We start from the raw sequence: 13,876 nt of genomic DNA, 5'->3' as shown, positions 1-13,876 counted from the left end.
ATTGCATCACTGCACTCCAGCCTGGGTGACAGAGTGAGACTCTGTCTCAAAACAAAACAGTAGAAAAGAAACAAAAACCATGGGATGAGAAACGGGACTTTATGGCAGCCCTGACCTCACCGTCCTCAATATTACCTATTATCTGAGCATTCTATAATATTGGTGCCAGGTATCAATGACAACTTATCATGATCATGGTGACCATATTACCTATATTCTCTAGAGCATGCAAATATGATTTAATTTCCTCCTACCAGGAGAAAGGCCCAATTTAACTTCCTTCCTCCATCAGTGAATACACCAGACCACATTTTCCACGATTGGTAAAAGGCAGAGATAGGGGTCTTAGTTTTCAGTTCATTCTTAACATGGTATGATTGGAGACTGCTTAGTCCAGCTTGTCTTTTTTCTTTGACTCCAAGGAAATGAAATGGAAATACAAGCCCACCTGTATCCTAGACTCCAGACTGCCGATTTCTTTGGCCAGTTGCTCTCTGGTTGGTATGCCAGGGTAGGAGTTCTGCTTAAACAATGCTTGAAGGGCATCTTTTTGACTTGAGTTCAAAACAATTCTTTGTTGAAATTCTCTTGGGAGAGAGCCTGGTATAGAGAAATGGGTCAAAGCCATGGGAAGGATTTGTTGTGGATTCACATCTGTGATGCAGATACAGACCTTCTATTGATACCAGGTTGAAGGTGTTGAGTCCCAGTGGTCACTCTGTGTTTGTACTTTTTGGATGCACACTCCATGATTAACTGGGCACAGGGCATTGCACAGATTAGAAAGGGTGATAGCCTTCATCCAGAGATCCACACCAAAAACCGAATCTCATGCCATTCATAACATTACACACAAACAACTCAGAAACCAGTTGCAAAAGGGGACATTGAATGAAACATTAGTTTCAAAATGTGAAAACCAAATTTGGACTTTCTGGGTTAAACATACATAGGGCAAGGGTTGAAAAACTACCTGTTGCGCTCTATGCTCACTACATGAATAACAGAATCAATCGTTCCCCAAGCCTCAGCATCACACAGTATACCCACATAACAAAACTGCACATGTACCCCCTGAATCTTAAGATAAAAATAGAAATTGTTTTTAAAATTGTCAAAAAAAGATAAAGGTGTTATCTTCAAAGGGTGGTCATTAGGATGAACCATGATGTGGTAGGAGGGTGGCATGTAGCTGAGTCCCAGTGTTTATATCTGAAGAGGAGAGTGAATGGCCTTGCATCCCCCGTGCAGAGACAATGACCAGCAGGGGTGTCAAGATCTGTTGTAATATTTGCAGCATTACTGAAGATCTGTGTAGCAAACTGGTTCCCAGGGAACTCTTGGCAGGAATCAGAATGCATCTATGTCACTCCTTGTAAAATTGAAAAGGAAACAACAGGAACAACAAAAAATCCGCCAACATTTCCTAGAATTTATGACACCAGACATTTTCTGAGAGCTGTGTGGCAGCCTTCGTAGTGGAGAAAACAGTTTTTGTCCCACATCTCCATTCATCTGGGTCACTGTGCTTCATTCACATGGCATTGCAGTGCTGTGAGATACACCACAGATACAGTCAGCTTTGTCCTGGGACTGGATGTTAGAGGTGGTTAAGGAGTGGTCAGCCTCAGACCTGGAGCCTGAGTAGTGATCAGGGATCCCGTCCCTCTTGCCATGGTTTCCATCACTCTTAAGCCACATCACACACCAAGGGGCTTCCCTGTCCATGCTACCATGCAGTGGTGTAGGTCCTATGCTTACTGCTCAGTGTGCAGGTGAGCTTGGCTGAGACTCCCTGGCTGGGAGAGGGAACCTGAAAACAAACTCATTACATCCTGGAGGAAGGAGAAGAGGGGACAGTTGCATCATGAGTGAGCCAGGGATCAGGATGCCGAGGACCATGTTGGCCTGTCCCATGAAGGAGGAGGATGAAGAGGAGGAGTAGGGTGTATGCCACTGTCCAGATACCCCAGTGCTGTGCCGAGGCAGCCATGCTGCAGGCCTCTTATCCACCCTCCAGACCGTGGAGAAACAGGAGCCCTTCATGCAAATTTTTGGCCAACCAAAGCCTCGCTGGGTCTTTCCTGCAGCCCTGTGGCTGGGTGTCATTTCTGGGAGGCGTGGGCCTGTGCTCAGCCTGGCTTGAGGCTCTGCAGGGTCCCAGGGAGGACTCAGCTGCTAGCCCAATGAGTCCTGAGCGGAGGCCAGGATCAGTGTCTGTTTCCTCATTTCCCCAGCTGAGAGCCCCAGAGGTCCCCTCAGGGCAGGCCCACCGGCTATCCTCTCTGTGACTAGAGGAGGGGTGGTTTTCACAGAGGCTCCTGCTTCCACCTAGGCCAGGACCCCTGCCCACTCACTGCCTAATGACACAGTGAGGTTCTCCCTCAGGGCAGCCGCCTGATGTCTCAGTCTTTAGTTTTCTATGTAGGCCTCCTCAGTGGGAACAGGGTGCACAATTCTCACTTTATAGGGAGTTCTTAAGGGAAGGGTTATCTCATATACAAATTGCAGCTGAAATAAGCATACATTATCTACAAGCAGGGGCGATTCAGCCCTGAATCCACTTGCCAGGATACTCATGAAGCCAGGTTTCTCTCTCCCCACTTGGTTGCTCAGGAGATCAGCACATAGTAAGCAGTCTGGTGAGTGCTGGGGAGGACAAATTCACCTGATTGATAGATCCACTGAATTCTCTGTCAAGTGAGGAGAACCCCGGGAGTAGAAGGAGAAAGTACTGGAGAATCAGAAGCCTTGGGGCTTTTTCTGAAGTGAAGGGTTAGAGAGATTCACTAAAGGAAGGGGATGCAAGTGACAACTTACAAGATCTGAAAAACTTCCCATGGCTGTTTGGACATAGAGAACTTGCTGACTAAGTGAGGAGGTCACAGGGGAGAAGGAGACGGTAGGAAAGAGAGACTGGAGAATCAAGATGGGAAATTGTGAATCAGAGATAAGGAATGGGAGAGGGTGAGGATGTTCCACACTCTGTCAAAGACTGGAGGAGGCACCAGTGGGGAGATTGAACAGGAGTCAGAGGGGAGGTCGAGGTTTGGGGTGTGTTTACTTTCATTTCTGGTTTGTTTCTTAAAGTGGCACCTCTGTCAGCATCTCAGCTGTCCTCTCTAGCCATCTTCCAGCCTGGACTGGGAATTTTTTTTTTTTTTTTTTTTTTTTGAGATGGAGTCTTGCTCCGTCACCCAGACTGGAGTGCAATGGCACGATCTCAGCTCACTGCAACCACCACCTCCCGGGTTCAAGCAATTCTCCTGTCTCAGCCTCCTGAGTAGCTAGGACTACAGGCGCCTGCCACCACAGCTGGCTAGTTTTTGTATTCTTAGTAGAGACAGGGTTTCATCTTGTTGGTCAGGCTGGTCTCAAACTCCTAACCTCAGGTGATCCAGCCGCCTTGGCCTCCCAAAGTGCTGGGATTATAGGCATGAGCCACGGCGCCCGGCCCTGGACTGGGAAATTTTTAAGTCAAAAGTCTTTAGTTCTCTCTGCAAGAGATTACTCTTTGGTTTCTGTCTGCTCATAGCTTTCCTTCTTGTTTTCCACCATTCTTATGAATTTGAGGATATTAAAATATGTATGGGAAAAATTGGGGGAAAGGACCCCTTAGAAATGCAAAGTCAGGTCCTATTCCAGACCCACGGAATCAGAATTCACACTTTACAGGATCTCAGATGATGGGTGCGCACAGTAACATCTGAAAAGCTCTGGTCTGACTCAGGCATGAAAGCACTGGTGGGTGTGGGTGACAGATTGTTTCTCATGCCTCAGTCTAGTCTCCCTCCTGCAAACATGCCCAGCAAGCTCCCTGCCTGCACTCTATCTTGAGCAGGAGATGCCAGGCATGTTGCACCTGAGGCTTCCCACTGCACACGGAGGCATCTCCCCTGAGCTCACAGATCCATAGAGCTTCAATAACAAGATCTGCATATTTTTATTGATATTAATAAGCAATTCGAATTAGCTAAAAATCAATATGTATTAGTACCTATGATAAAAATAATATTGTGGCCGGGCGCAGTGGCTCACACCTGTAATCTCAGCATTTTGGGAGGCTGAGGCGGGCAGATCGCCTGAGCTCAGGAGTTCGAGACCACCCTGGGAAACATGGTGAAACCCTGTCTCTACTAAAATACAAAAAATTATTGGGAGGCCAAGGCGGGCGGATCACGTGAGGTCAGGAGTTCGAGACCAGCCTGGCCAACATGGTGAAACCCTGTCTCTACTAAAAATACAAAAATTAGCTGGGCATGGTGGCAGGCACCTGTAATCCCAGCTACTCAGAAGGCTGAGGCAGGAGAATTGCTTGAACCCGGAGGCGGAAGTTGCATGAGCTGAGATCCTGTCATTGCACTCCAGTCTGGGGGACAAGAGCGAGACTTCATCTCAAAAAAAAAAAAATTAGCCAGGCGTGGTGGCGCTTGTCTGTAGTCCCAGCTACTGGGGAGGCTGAGGCACGAGAATCGCTTGAGCCCTGAAGCAGATGTCGTGGTGAGCTGAGATTGCTCTAGTGCACTCCAGCTTGGGCTACACAGTGAGACTCTGTCTCAAAAAAAAAAAATATATATGTATATATATATATATATTATTATGCAGTCATTATAAACTTATAATGTCTTCACGACCAGGGAAATTAAATTAACATAAAATGACACTAGTGGTATATAAAATATAGAAAGATAAACACAAAAATCATCATAATTGTGGAAATATTAGGGGCATACATGAAAGAAATGAATGCAAATTCAAAATAGAGGTATATTGATTTGTCTTAGTGTATTAGCTTCCTAGGCCTGAAATCACATGGACCATAAACTGGGGGGTTAAAAAAACAGAAATGTCTCAGTTCTCGGAGCTAGTAGTGCAAAATCCATAGGCAGGGCCAGGTTCCCTCTGATGCTTCTAGGGGAAACCTGTCCTTCTTCCAGGCTCCTGGTGGTTTCTCATTTCTTTCCTGCTGCTCCTCTTTGCCATCCTTCCTCCACCCTGGAGGATGGCCCTGTGTCAACTCAGTCCATGCATGTGAACCAACCACCTCCACGCGCCACATTAAGCACAGCTCCCTGAGTGATCCATAATCACCAACCTCCAGGGCACTGATAGTCACTCTGTGTCGTCCTAGCTTTTGGAGAAACTTTTGGACAAGTCATCTCCAAATAAAGAAGACCTTGTCAATGTAAGACCACGCTTCTTTCTTATACAGAAATTTTGCTTTCCTGGTTTATTTCTTTACCAGTGAAATTTAGAGATAAAAATCTGAAAATGTACATTATGGGAGACATGTAATACCCTTGGTTGAGGTGGTATTAGGTGGGCATCTCTTACCAACTGACAGTTTCCATGATAAACTGTAATGTAGAGGCATCTCCCTCAGCACCACTTTTCCCTTTTGAATTAAGGACTGTGCCACTGCTAATCTAAATCAATTTGAAAGATAAATGTGGCAGGAAAAGGTGTTATCTTTTCCACAGGTATCCTCTGTGCTAGTTTTGGGGAACTTTGATTTTTGACGTAACCACTGTACCCCTTCTAGGTTCCTAAAGTCAAGAGAAAAAACAGACCTGTGTGAAGTGCACAGCATAATATAATCCTCACAGTGCTTTTAAAATATGATTGCAGATGTCATCAGCCTCAGGAGAGAGTGGTATGTACCTTGAAATAACTCACCGAGACACAAACTTGCTGACTTCTTGTCCTCCATCTCAGAGAAGATATGGAAGATATGAAGGATGGAGAAAAAGAGGAAGAGGAAATGTGATGGTGGAGTGGGTAACATAAAAAAGGGAAGGCAAATAAGTGTATGTGTTTTCAGCGGCTTCTCACTTTCTTTTGGCCCATCAAGGAAACCAACACATCCGAGGAGAGTGCTGATAGGCTGCTCTTAGCCGGGACCACACTTGTGCTTTGAAAACAACCCCCAAAATCCCTGCAGGCAATTGAAGGATGTCCCGAGAACATCCTCCCAGGGAGCAGATACCCATTCTGTAGAAGCTCTAAGCCTGCTGGGCTAAGCCCTCCATAGGCCACTTTAATGAGGAGGAGAGGCTGTAGGTGGTGGTAGGACCACCATGTTGCATGACTTTTCTGTGTGCCCCGTCTTTTGACTCTGTCTCAAAAAAAAAAAAAAAAAAAGTGCGTTGCTTTGAAACACAAGTGCAGATGCTTAGCAGCAGCCTTTGCCTTTGTGGGAGTTGTAAACTAAAAATAAAATTCTAACCCGCCACTGACTGAACAGGCCCTCCCTTGGTCAAAGAGACCCCAGAAATACCTTAAAACTGAGTTTCTGGCCATGATGAGATGGGAGGAGGTTCAGACACATCTCATTATACTCCCTCATGTTTATGGTTTAGACACAACTGCCCAGCATTACTGTGAAATTAGCGATCATAAGACTGACATAATGGACTATTTGTGGCAATGAGATACCGAATTATAAACAGGACTGAAGGCCACAACAGGTAAGGGTTAAGTCACGCACCCTAAACTTAAAGAATAAACTGTGTTCTAACTGCCACAAGTTAATTTTTCTCTAGCAGCTAAATAAGCACTGACCCTCAAGCAATATTAAAATAATTGTAGCTCAACACCAGATACTGACTAACCTCCAACCCCTGTTCCACAAACCATAACTGCAGCTTTGATTGGACAAGAGACTGATTTCAGTAACTTTCTCCCGATAAGAAGACCACCTACGGTTTGTCAAGCTCCTGTAGGGCCAACATAACCATGGCAACCCTCAGTAGTATGTGAATGGTTGCAGGCCCCTTGCTGGTCTGTGAGAAGTCTAATTTCAAGTACAACAAGAAATGAAGCCAGCATCTAATGGAGAAGTAATGTCGCCTACACTAACATACGATACAAATATTGATAAAACTGTTGCCCTCCTACCAAATGGGAAATTAATTACTGGATACATACAGCTATGAAAAAACTGGACATCAAGATTGTCCATCTCTACCTCTGTGCCAAACTCTAGACTTTCATTAATAAGAATGTATCAATATTATTTCAGTCATTGTAACATTTACCACACTCATGTAAGATGTGATTACAAAAAGGATGCTGAGGTGGGGGAAGGGTGTATGAGAACTTTCTGTACTACTTCATCAGTTTTTATGTTAATTCAAAACAGTTTCATATAATGTCCATTAATTTAAAAAATATGGCAGCATTGTTCAGGAAGTGTTTCATTTTAGTTAATGTTTAACAAGCAGCTAAATATCTAAATACTACATTGAGATATTCTATGCTATTAAAACTGAAACAATTTTGAAGTTGTAAATGTATCTTCTGTAGTTGTAGCACTAGTGATTGACTTAATAAACTTAAATTTGCACACATGAAATAATATGGCATAGCAATTTTAGAGTTGTCTGAAATATGGGACGCTGAATAATCTAGAATTGTTATCCTTGAATGAACTTAACAATTTAATTTCCACAGTACTTTCAGTTGACTGCTTTCCGGGGTGCGCCTAGTTATGAGGCCAGTGGCAGAGTATTCTCTTCCTCAGCTTGGTGTGGACAGTAGATTCCCTTGATCCCTGAAGATCTACTGTCATACCCTGGAGGCAAGATGCTGGGAAATGTACTATGAAAAAGACAGTTTTTGACATCTTCCTGCCAAAGACCATAGAGAAATGAGTAATCATTTATTGACAGTTTAAATGTTTGACCCATTGTTCACCATCTGCATAGCGAAACCCCCTGAATCTCAGTTGGATTTTAACAAGAACCTGCAGTGTGAGTTGCACTCATAACCAACAGACTGACTATGTAGGCAAATACCTGTATTGAGATGAGACAATATAGAAATATTGGAGTGACCAAGAACACTGGGCCTGGTGCATAAAGATGGGGGTTCAAGTCCTACTTAGAAGATGCACAAACCTGACAAAGTTATAGAGACCTCTCTGTGCCTCAGTTCCCTGTTCTGAGGTATTGAAATGTTAATATGGCGTATGTTATAAGGCTAAAAATGGTGAAATGGAGGTAAAGCCTTTAGAAGACTGGCAATTCATAAGTGACCTAAAGTGTTCAATCATTATATGTCTAGAAGAATATGCCAGAACCTTGGTAGTTGTTGAATACAGAGAAGAAACGTGGGTGGCTCCAGGGGAGTGGAGGATGGGATTTTCTTCTTTTTTTCCATAGGTATGATGCTTTACAGCTCATGGAGAATATCTGTTATTTCTTGTGATGCTTACATCAGCCTGGAGGAATGCGCAGAGCAGGGGCTACAACCCATATTTGACAGCTCAGGGAAGTGAAATGGAGAGATTTGAAGTGGTCTGCCCAGAGTCACAGCACTGATGAGTGATGGATCTGGCACAAGAAGGTAATTGGTTTTCTGGGGACTGAGGTCTCTGAAGACCCAAGACCTTGAAATAATTCCCTGAACCCTGAACAAAGGGCTATTTTCACTTGCTTTCTCAACTGCTCCTACCCCAAAGTTGCTTCAGGAATCTGATGCCCTGGAAGAGGTGGCTAAGTCAAAAGAAGAGCTGAAACAGTAATAAAAAAAGAATCTTTCAACCTCTAGGTTTTAATCCCTGACCTCACCTTGCAGTATAAGCCACCTTATAATCAGTTGACCATCCTAAGGGACCATGGTCTGCTTGGCCCCGTATTAGTCCATCCTTGCATTGATATAAAGAAATACTTGAAACTGGGTAATTCATAAAGAAAAGAGGTTTAATTGGTTCATCATTCTGCAGGATGTAGAGGAAGCATAGTGGCATCTGCTTCTTGGGAGACTTCCAGAATCTTCCAATCATGGTGGAATGTGAAGGGGAAATAGGCATCCCATATAGCAGCAGCAGAAGCAAGAGAGAGTGAGAGCAAGATGCCCCACACTTTTATGCAACCAGATCTCATGAGAACTCACTTTTGCAAGGACAGCACCAAGGGGATGGTGCTAAACCATTCATGAGAAAACTACCCCCATGAGCCAATCACCTCCCATCAGGCCCCACCTCCAATGCTGGGGATGACAATTTAACATGAGATTTGGGAAGGGACACATATCCAAACTATATTATTCCACCCCTTGCCACTCCCAAATCTCATGTCCTTCTCACATTTCAGAATACAGTTATGCCTTCCCAACAGTCTCCCAAAGTCTTAGCCCATTCCAGCATTGTCTTAAAAGTCTGAAGTCCAAAGTCTCATCTGAGACAAGGTAAATCTCTTCCACCTGTAAAATAAAAAACAAGTTAGAGTTACTTCCAAAATACAATGGAAGTACAAGCATTGGGTTACAAACCCCATTCCAAAAGGGATAAATAGGCCAAAAAAAGGGGGCTACGGGCTCCACACATATTCAAAACTCAGCAGTGCAATCATTAAATCTTAAAGCTCAATAATAATTTTCTTTGACTCCATGTCCCACATCCAGGCCATTGGTGCAAGCAATGGGCTCCTGAGGTCTTGGGCAGCTCTGCCTCTGTGGCTTTGCAAGCTTCAGCCCCCAAAGCTGTTCTCATGGGCTGGAGTTTAGTGCTTGCAGTTTTTCCATGTGCAGGGTGCAAGCTGCCAGTAGATCTTCCATTTTGGGGTCTGGAGGATGGTGGCTCCACTAGCAAATGCCCCAGTACAGACTCTATGTGGGGGCTCCAACCCCACAGTTTTCCTCTACACCACCCTAGTAGAGGTTCTCTGTGAGGGCTCCACCCCTGCAGCAAGCTTCTGACTGGACACCCAAGCTTTTCCACACATCCTCTGAAATCTAGGTAGAGGTGCCAAGCCTCATTCACTCTTGCATTCTGTGCACCAGCAGACTTAACACCATGTGGAAGCCACCAAGGCTTATGACTTACACTTGTCAGAGCAGCAGCCCAAGCTACCCCTGGCCCCTTTAAGCCACAGCTGGATCTGGAGTTGCCAAGAGGCAGGGAGCAGTGTCCTGAGGATGTGCAGGACAGTGTAGGCCTGGGCCTGGCCTCCAAAACCATTCTTCCCTGGGCCTCTGATCCTGTGTTTGGATAGGCTGCCTCTGAGATCTCTAAAATGCCTTCAAGGCTTTTTATTGTCTGGGCTATCAGCACTTGCCTTCTTTTTAGTTATCAAATTTCTCTAGCAGGTGGTTACTCAGCAGCCCACTTGAATTCTTCTGACGATGGGCTTTGGGTTTTTGGTTTTTTTTTTTTTTTTTCCTACTGCATGGCCAGGCTCCAGGATGCAAATTTTCCAAACTTTTATTTGCTGGTTACCTTTTAAATAGAAGTTCCAACTTATTTCTTTGCTTCCACATCCCAGCATAGGCTGTTAGAAGCAGTCACACCAGTTTTTGTTTGTTTGTTTTGTTTTGTTTGTTTTGTTTTGTTTTTGAGACAAGGTCTCACTCTGTCACCCAGGCTGAAGTGCCATGGCATAAACATGGATCACTGCACCCTGGACTTCCCAGGCTTAGGTAATTGTCCCATCTCAGCCTCCTGAGTAGCTGGGACTATGGGCTCATGCCACTAGGCCAGGTATTTTTTTTTATATTTTTAGTCAGAGATGGGATTTTGCCATGTTTCCCAGGCTGGTCTTGAACTCTTGGGCTCAAGCTATCTGCCTGCCTTGGCCTCTCAAAGTGCTAGGATTACTGGCATGAGCCACCATGCTTGGCCCATGCCACTTCTTGAACACTTTGTTGCTTAGAAATTTTTTTTTGCCAGATACTCTAGGACATCACTCTCAAGTTTAAACTTCCATAGATCCCTAGGACTTGGATGGAATCCAGCCAAGCTCTTTGCTAAGGCATAACATGCGTGACCTTTGCTCTAGTTTCCAATAAGTTCCTCATTTCCATCTGAGACCTCATCAGCCTGGACTTCACTTTCTATATCACTATCAGCATTTTGGTCACAACCATTTAACCAATTTCTAAGAAGTTCTAAACTTTCCCTCATCTTCCTGTCTTCTTCCAAGTTCTCCAGACTCTTTCAACCTCTGCCCATTACCCAGTTCCAAAGGTGCTTCCTCATTTTCAGGTACCTTTATACTAATGCCCCACTCCTTAGTACTAATTTTCTGTATTCGGCCATTCTCACATTGCTGTAAAGAAATTCCTGGCTGGGCACGGTGGCTCACGCCTGTAATCCCAGCACTTTGGGAAGCCAAGGTGGGCAGATCACGAGGTCAAAAGTTTGAGACCAGCCTGACCAACATAGTGAAACCCTGTCTCTACTAAAAATACAAAAATTAGCTGGGCATGGTGGCATGCGTCTGTAATCCCAGCTACTCAGGAGGCCAAGGCAGGAGAATCGCTTGAACTCAGAAGATGGAGGTTGCAGTGAGCCGAGATCATGCCACTGCACTCCAGCCTGGGTGAGAGTGAGACTCTGTCTCAAAACAAACAAAAAACCCCCCAAATAAAACAACAACAACAAATTCCTGAGACTGGGTAATTTATATAGAAAAGAGATTTAATTGGCTCAGCGTTCTGAAAGCTTTACAGGAAGCATGATACGGACATCTGCGTGGCTTCTGGGGAGGCCTCAGGAAACTTAGAATCATAACAGAAGGCTAAGTGGGAGCATGCACATCACAAGGCCAGAGTAGGAGCAAGGTAGGAGGAGGTGTCACACACTTTTAAACAACCAAATCTCACTGTTGCAAGAGCAGCAACAAGGGGATGATGCTAAACCATTTATGAGACATACACTCTCATGACCCAGTCACCTCTCAACCAGTTGTCTCCAATATTGAGGATTACAATCCACCATAAGATTTGGGCAGGGACGCATATCCAAACTGTATCAGCCCCCAGGCTGGCTCAGAACTCAGGACATTTTAAACCAATTGCCACTTGAAGGCTGTGCCAAGAATCAACTTCCATTCAACTGGCCAACCCTTCATGAGCAGCTAATTGAAATTAACTGAAAATATGGCTATCTGGGCTGATGCTTTAGTGGCTTAATGAATTAAATCTGTGACCCCAATCATCTCACTGGCTTAATCTGAGCAACTATCTGAACAACCTGGACTAAGGCATACTTGAGAATGGGAAGTGCCTAAGTAAAGTCGGTTTAAATAACTTGGAAGTCAAACCTGATGAAAAAGATACTTGAATTTAATTAGACACAGGCACAATGTATTCAAGGTCATGAGTGAACATTGTATTATAGAAGAATGTAAACATGAAAGCTAGCACCTTGAGCAGGTGGATATATGGCTCCTAGTATTAGGTTGGTGCGGTAATTGCAGTTTTTGCCATTGAAAGTAATGGCAAAAACCACAATTACTTGTGCACCAACCTAATAGCATGGGAAGTTTCCTGATTACATGCAACAATTCAGACATATCAAAAAGTTAAGAGTAAAAAATCATGTTACCCCTGAGAAAGAATTTATTTTTACCTTTGGGATCAATATTTTGGTATTATAACAGCAGAAATAGAATATGAGGGAAAAGTTAAAAGAGCTGATGGAAAAGTTGAAGTACAAAGTTACCATTCTAGCCAAGTAAAAAGATTTACCTTTTGAAGGAGAAAAGAAACAAAGGGTAATGATGTGTGATCTGTAAATAATGTGTAAAAAAATATAGTAAAGGTTGAACTTCTGAGATACAAATCTCAGAAGTTTTAAAAAGAAACAGATTTGAGAATTAAAAATTATTACTGTGTGTAATCTCATTGAGAACAAATCTTTTTTTTTTTTTTCTGGCTCCAAAGATCCTTTACTGATATCCACTTGAAACACGTCGGTCCTTAACTTGTTAACTGAGTAGACAGGCTGATGGCTGATCTAGGTAAAGGTTTCACGGTAGCAAAAACACTTCCTGCCTGTAATATATCAAAACAGGTTCCTAAATAATGTGTGTGAATGTCATCAGGGTCTCTGTCCCATCTTCTTCAGGGTTCGATTAAGCTCCTCCAATTTTTGGATCCGACGGATGAAGAAATCCCCATAGCGCCTGGAGACCTTGGTGTCCGCGATGTGGATCATGTCCTTATCAATGTAGAAGTCAACCTCTGAGGCTGACTGAAATTCACCATCCAGGATTGAGATGCCGCTGGTCCACACCAGGTTCTTCATCTTGTGTTTGAAGACAAGAAGCTGGATCCTGAACTCCTGCTCTGTGAGGTCCAGGAAGCCAGCCAGCTTGGCCACAGGCATGGTGGTGTAGAGCTTGAGGAAGCTGTGGATGGTTGAAAGCTGGGCCTGCTGCTGTACTTCATCAGAAAACACCTTCAGCTGCTGCAGGAAGGGCTCTTTGTGGTAGTTGGGGTGCACATTATCATAGTTGGGCACTACAGGCGACAGGAACTTGGGGCAGAAGTAACTGAAAAGTTCTTCATAGACTTGTGGGTCACCTTTCTGCATGCGCAGCATCTTGTCCCTGTGTTTCTTCTGCAGCTGGAGGTGAATGCTCTCATCGATACTCATGGGGTACACCGTGAGGGCAATGGCCAGCAGTGCATGCATCTGCTCATTCTGCTTGTTAATCATCTCATACTTGTATGTGGTCCTCTGGAACATGCTCTTGGTCCTCTGGATGTAGAGGAGGCTGTTGGCAAAGACCCGGATGGCATCCTGGTAGCGACACATCATCAAATATGCAAACCCAACATAATAGTATGTGGTGATCTGGCACTCTGGCACACGGGAATACATACTCTTTTTGTTAAGTTCGATGGGGAAAAAATCTTACGCTTATTTTTTTAAAAAAAATTTAGTTGGATATTAATGTATTTTTAATATTTTTATTTATTTATTTATTTATTTATTTTTATTTTTTTGAGACAGAGTCTTGCTCTGTTGCTCAGGCTGGAATGCAGTAACGCAATCTCGGCTCACTGCAAGCTCCGCCTCCCGGGTTCACGCCATTCTCCTGCCTCAGCCTCCCAAGTAGCTGGGACTACAGGCGCCCGCCACCATGCC

At 44.2% G+C, this 13,876-nt stretch overlaps 1 protein-coding gene and 1 pseudogene across 1 annotated transcript in view; one reads left to right on the top strand and one right to left on the bottom strand.

The window, feature by feature from the left end:
• The window catches only part of ZNF33B (zinc finger protein 33B), a 64,402-nt gene extending 58,264 nt beyond the window's left edge, over positions 1-6,138 (top strand). Inside the window, exon 4 of the transcript NR_130951.2 lies at positions 5,629-6,138. The gene's annotated coding sequence lies outside the window, so the exon portion shown is untranslated. The remainder of the gene's footprint in view (positions 1-5,628) is intronic.
• Positions 12,654-13,631, bottom strand: EIF3LP2 (eukaryotic translation initiation factor 3 subunit L pseudogene 2; annotated as a pseudogene).

Source organism: Homo sapiens, chromosome 10, assembly GCF_000001405.40.
Source record: "Homo sapiens chromosome 10, GRCh38.p14 Primary Assembly".
NCBI lineage: Eukaryota > Metazoa > Chordata > Mammalia > Primates > Hominidae > Homo > Homo sapiens.
Note: the sequence above shows the minus strand (reverse complement) of the source record. Positions and strands in the feature narration are given on the sequence as shown.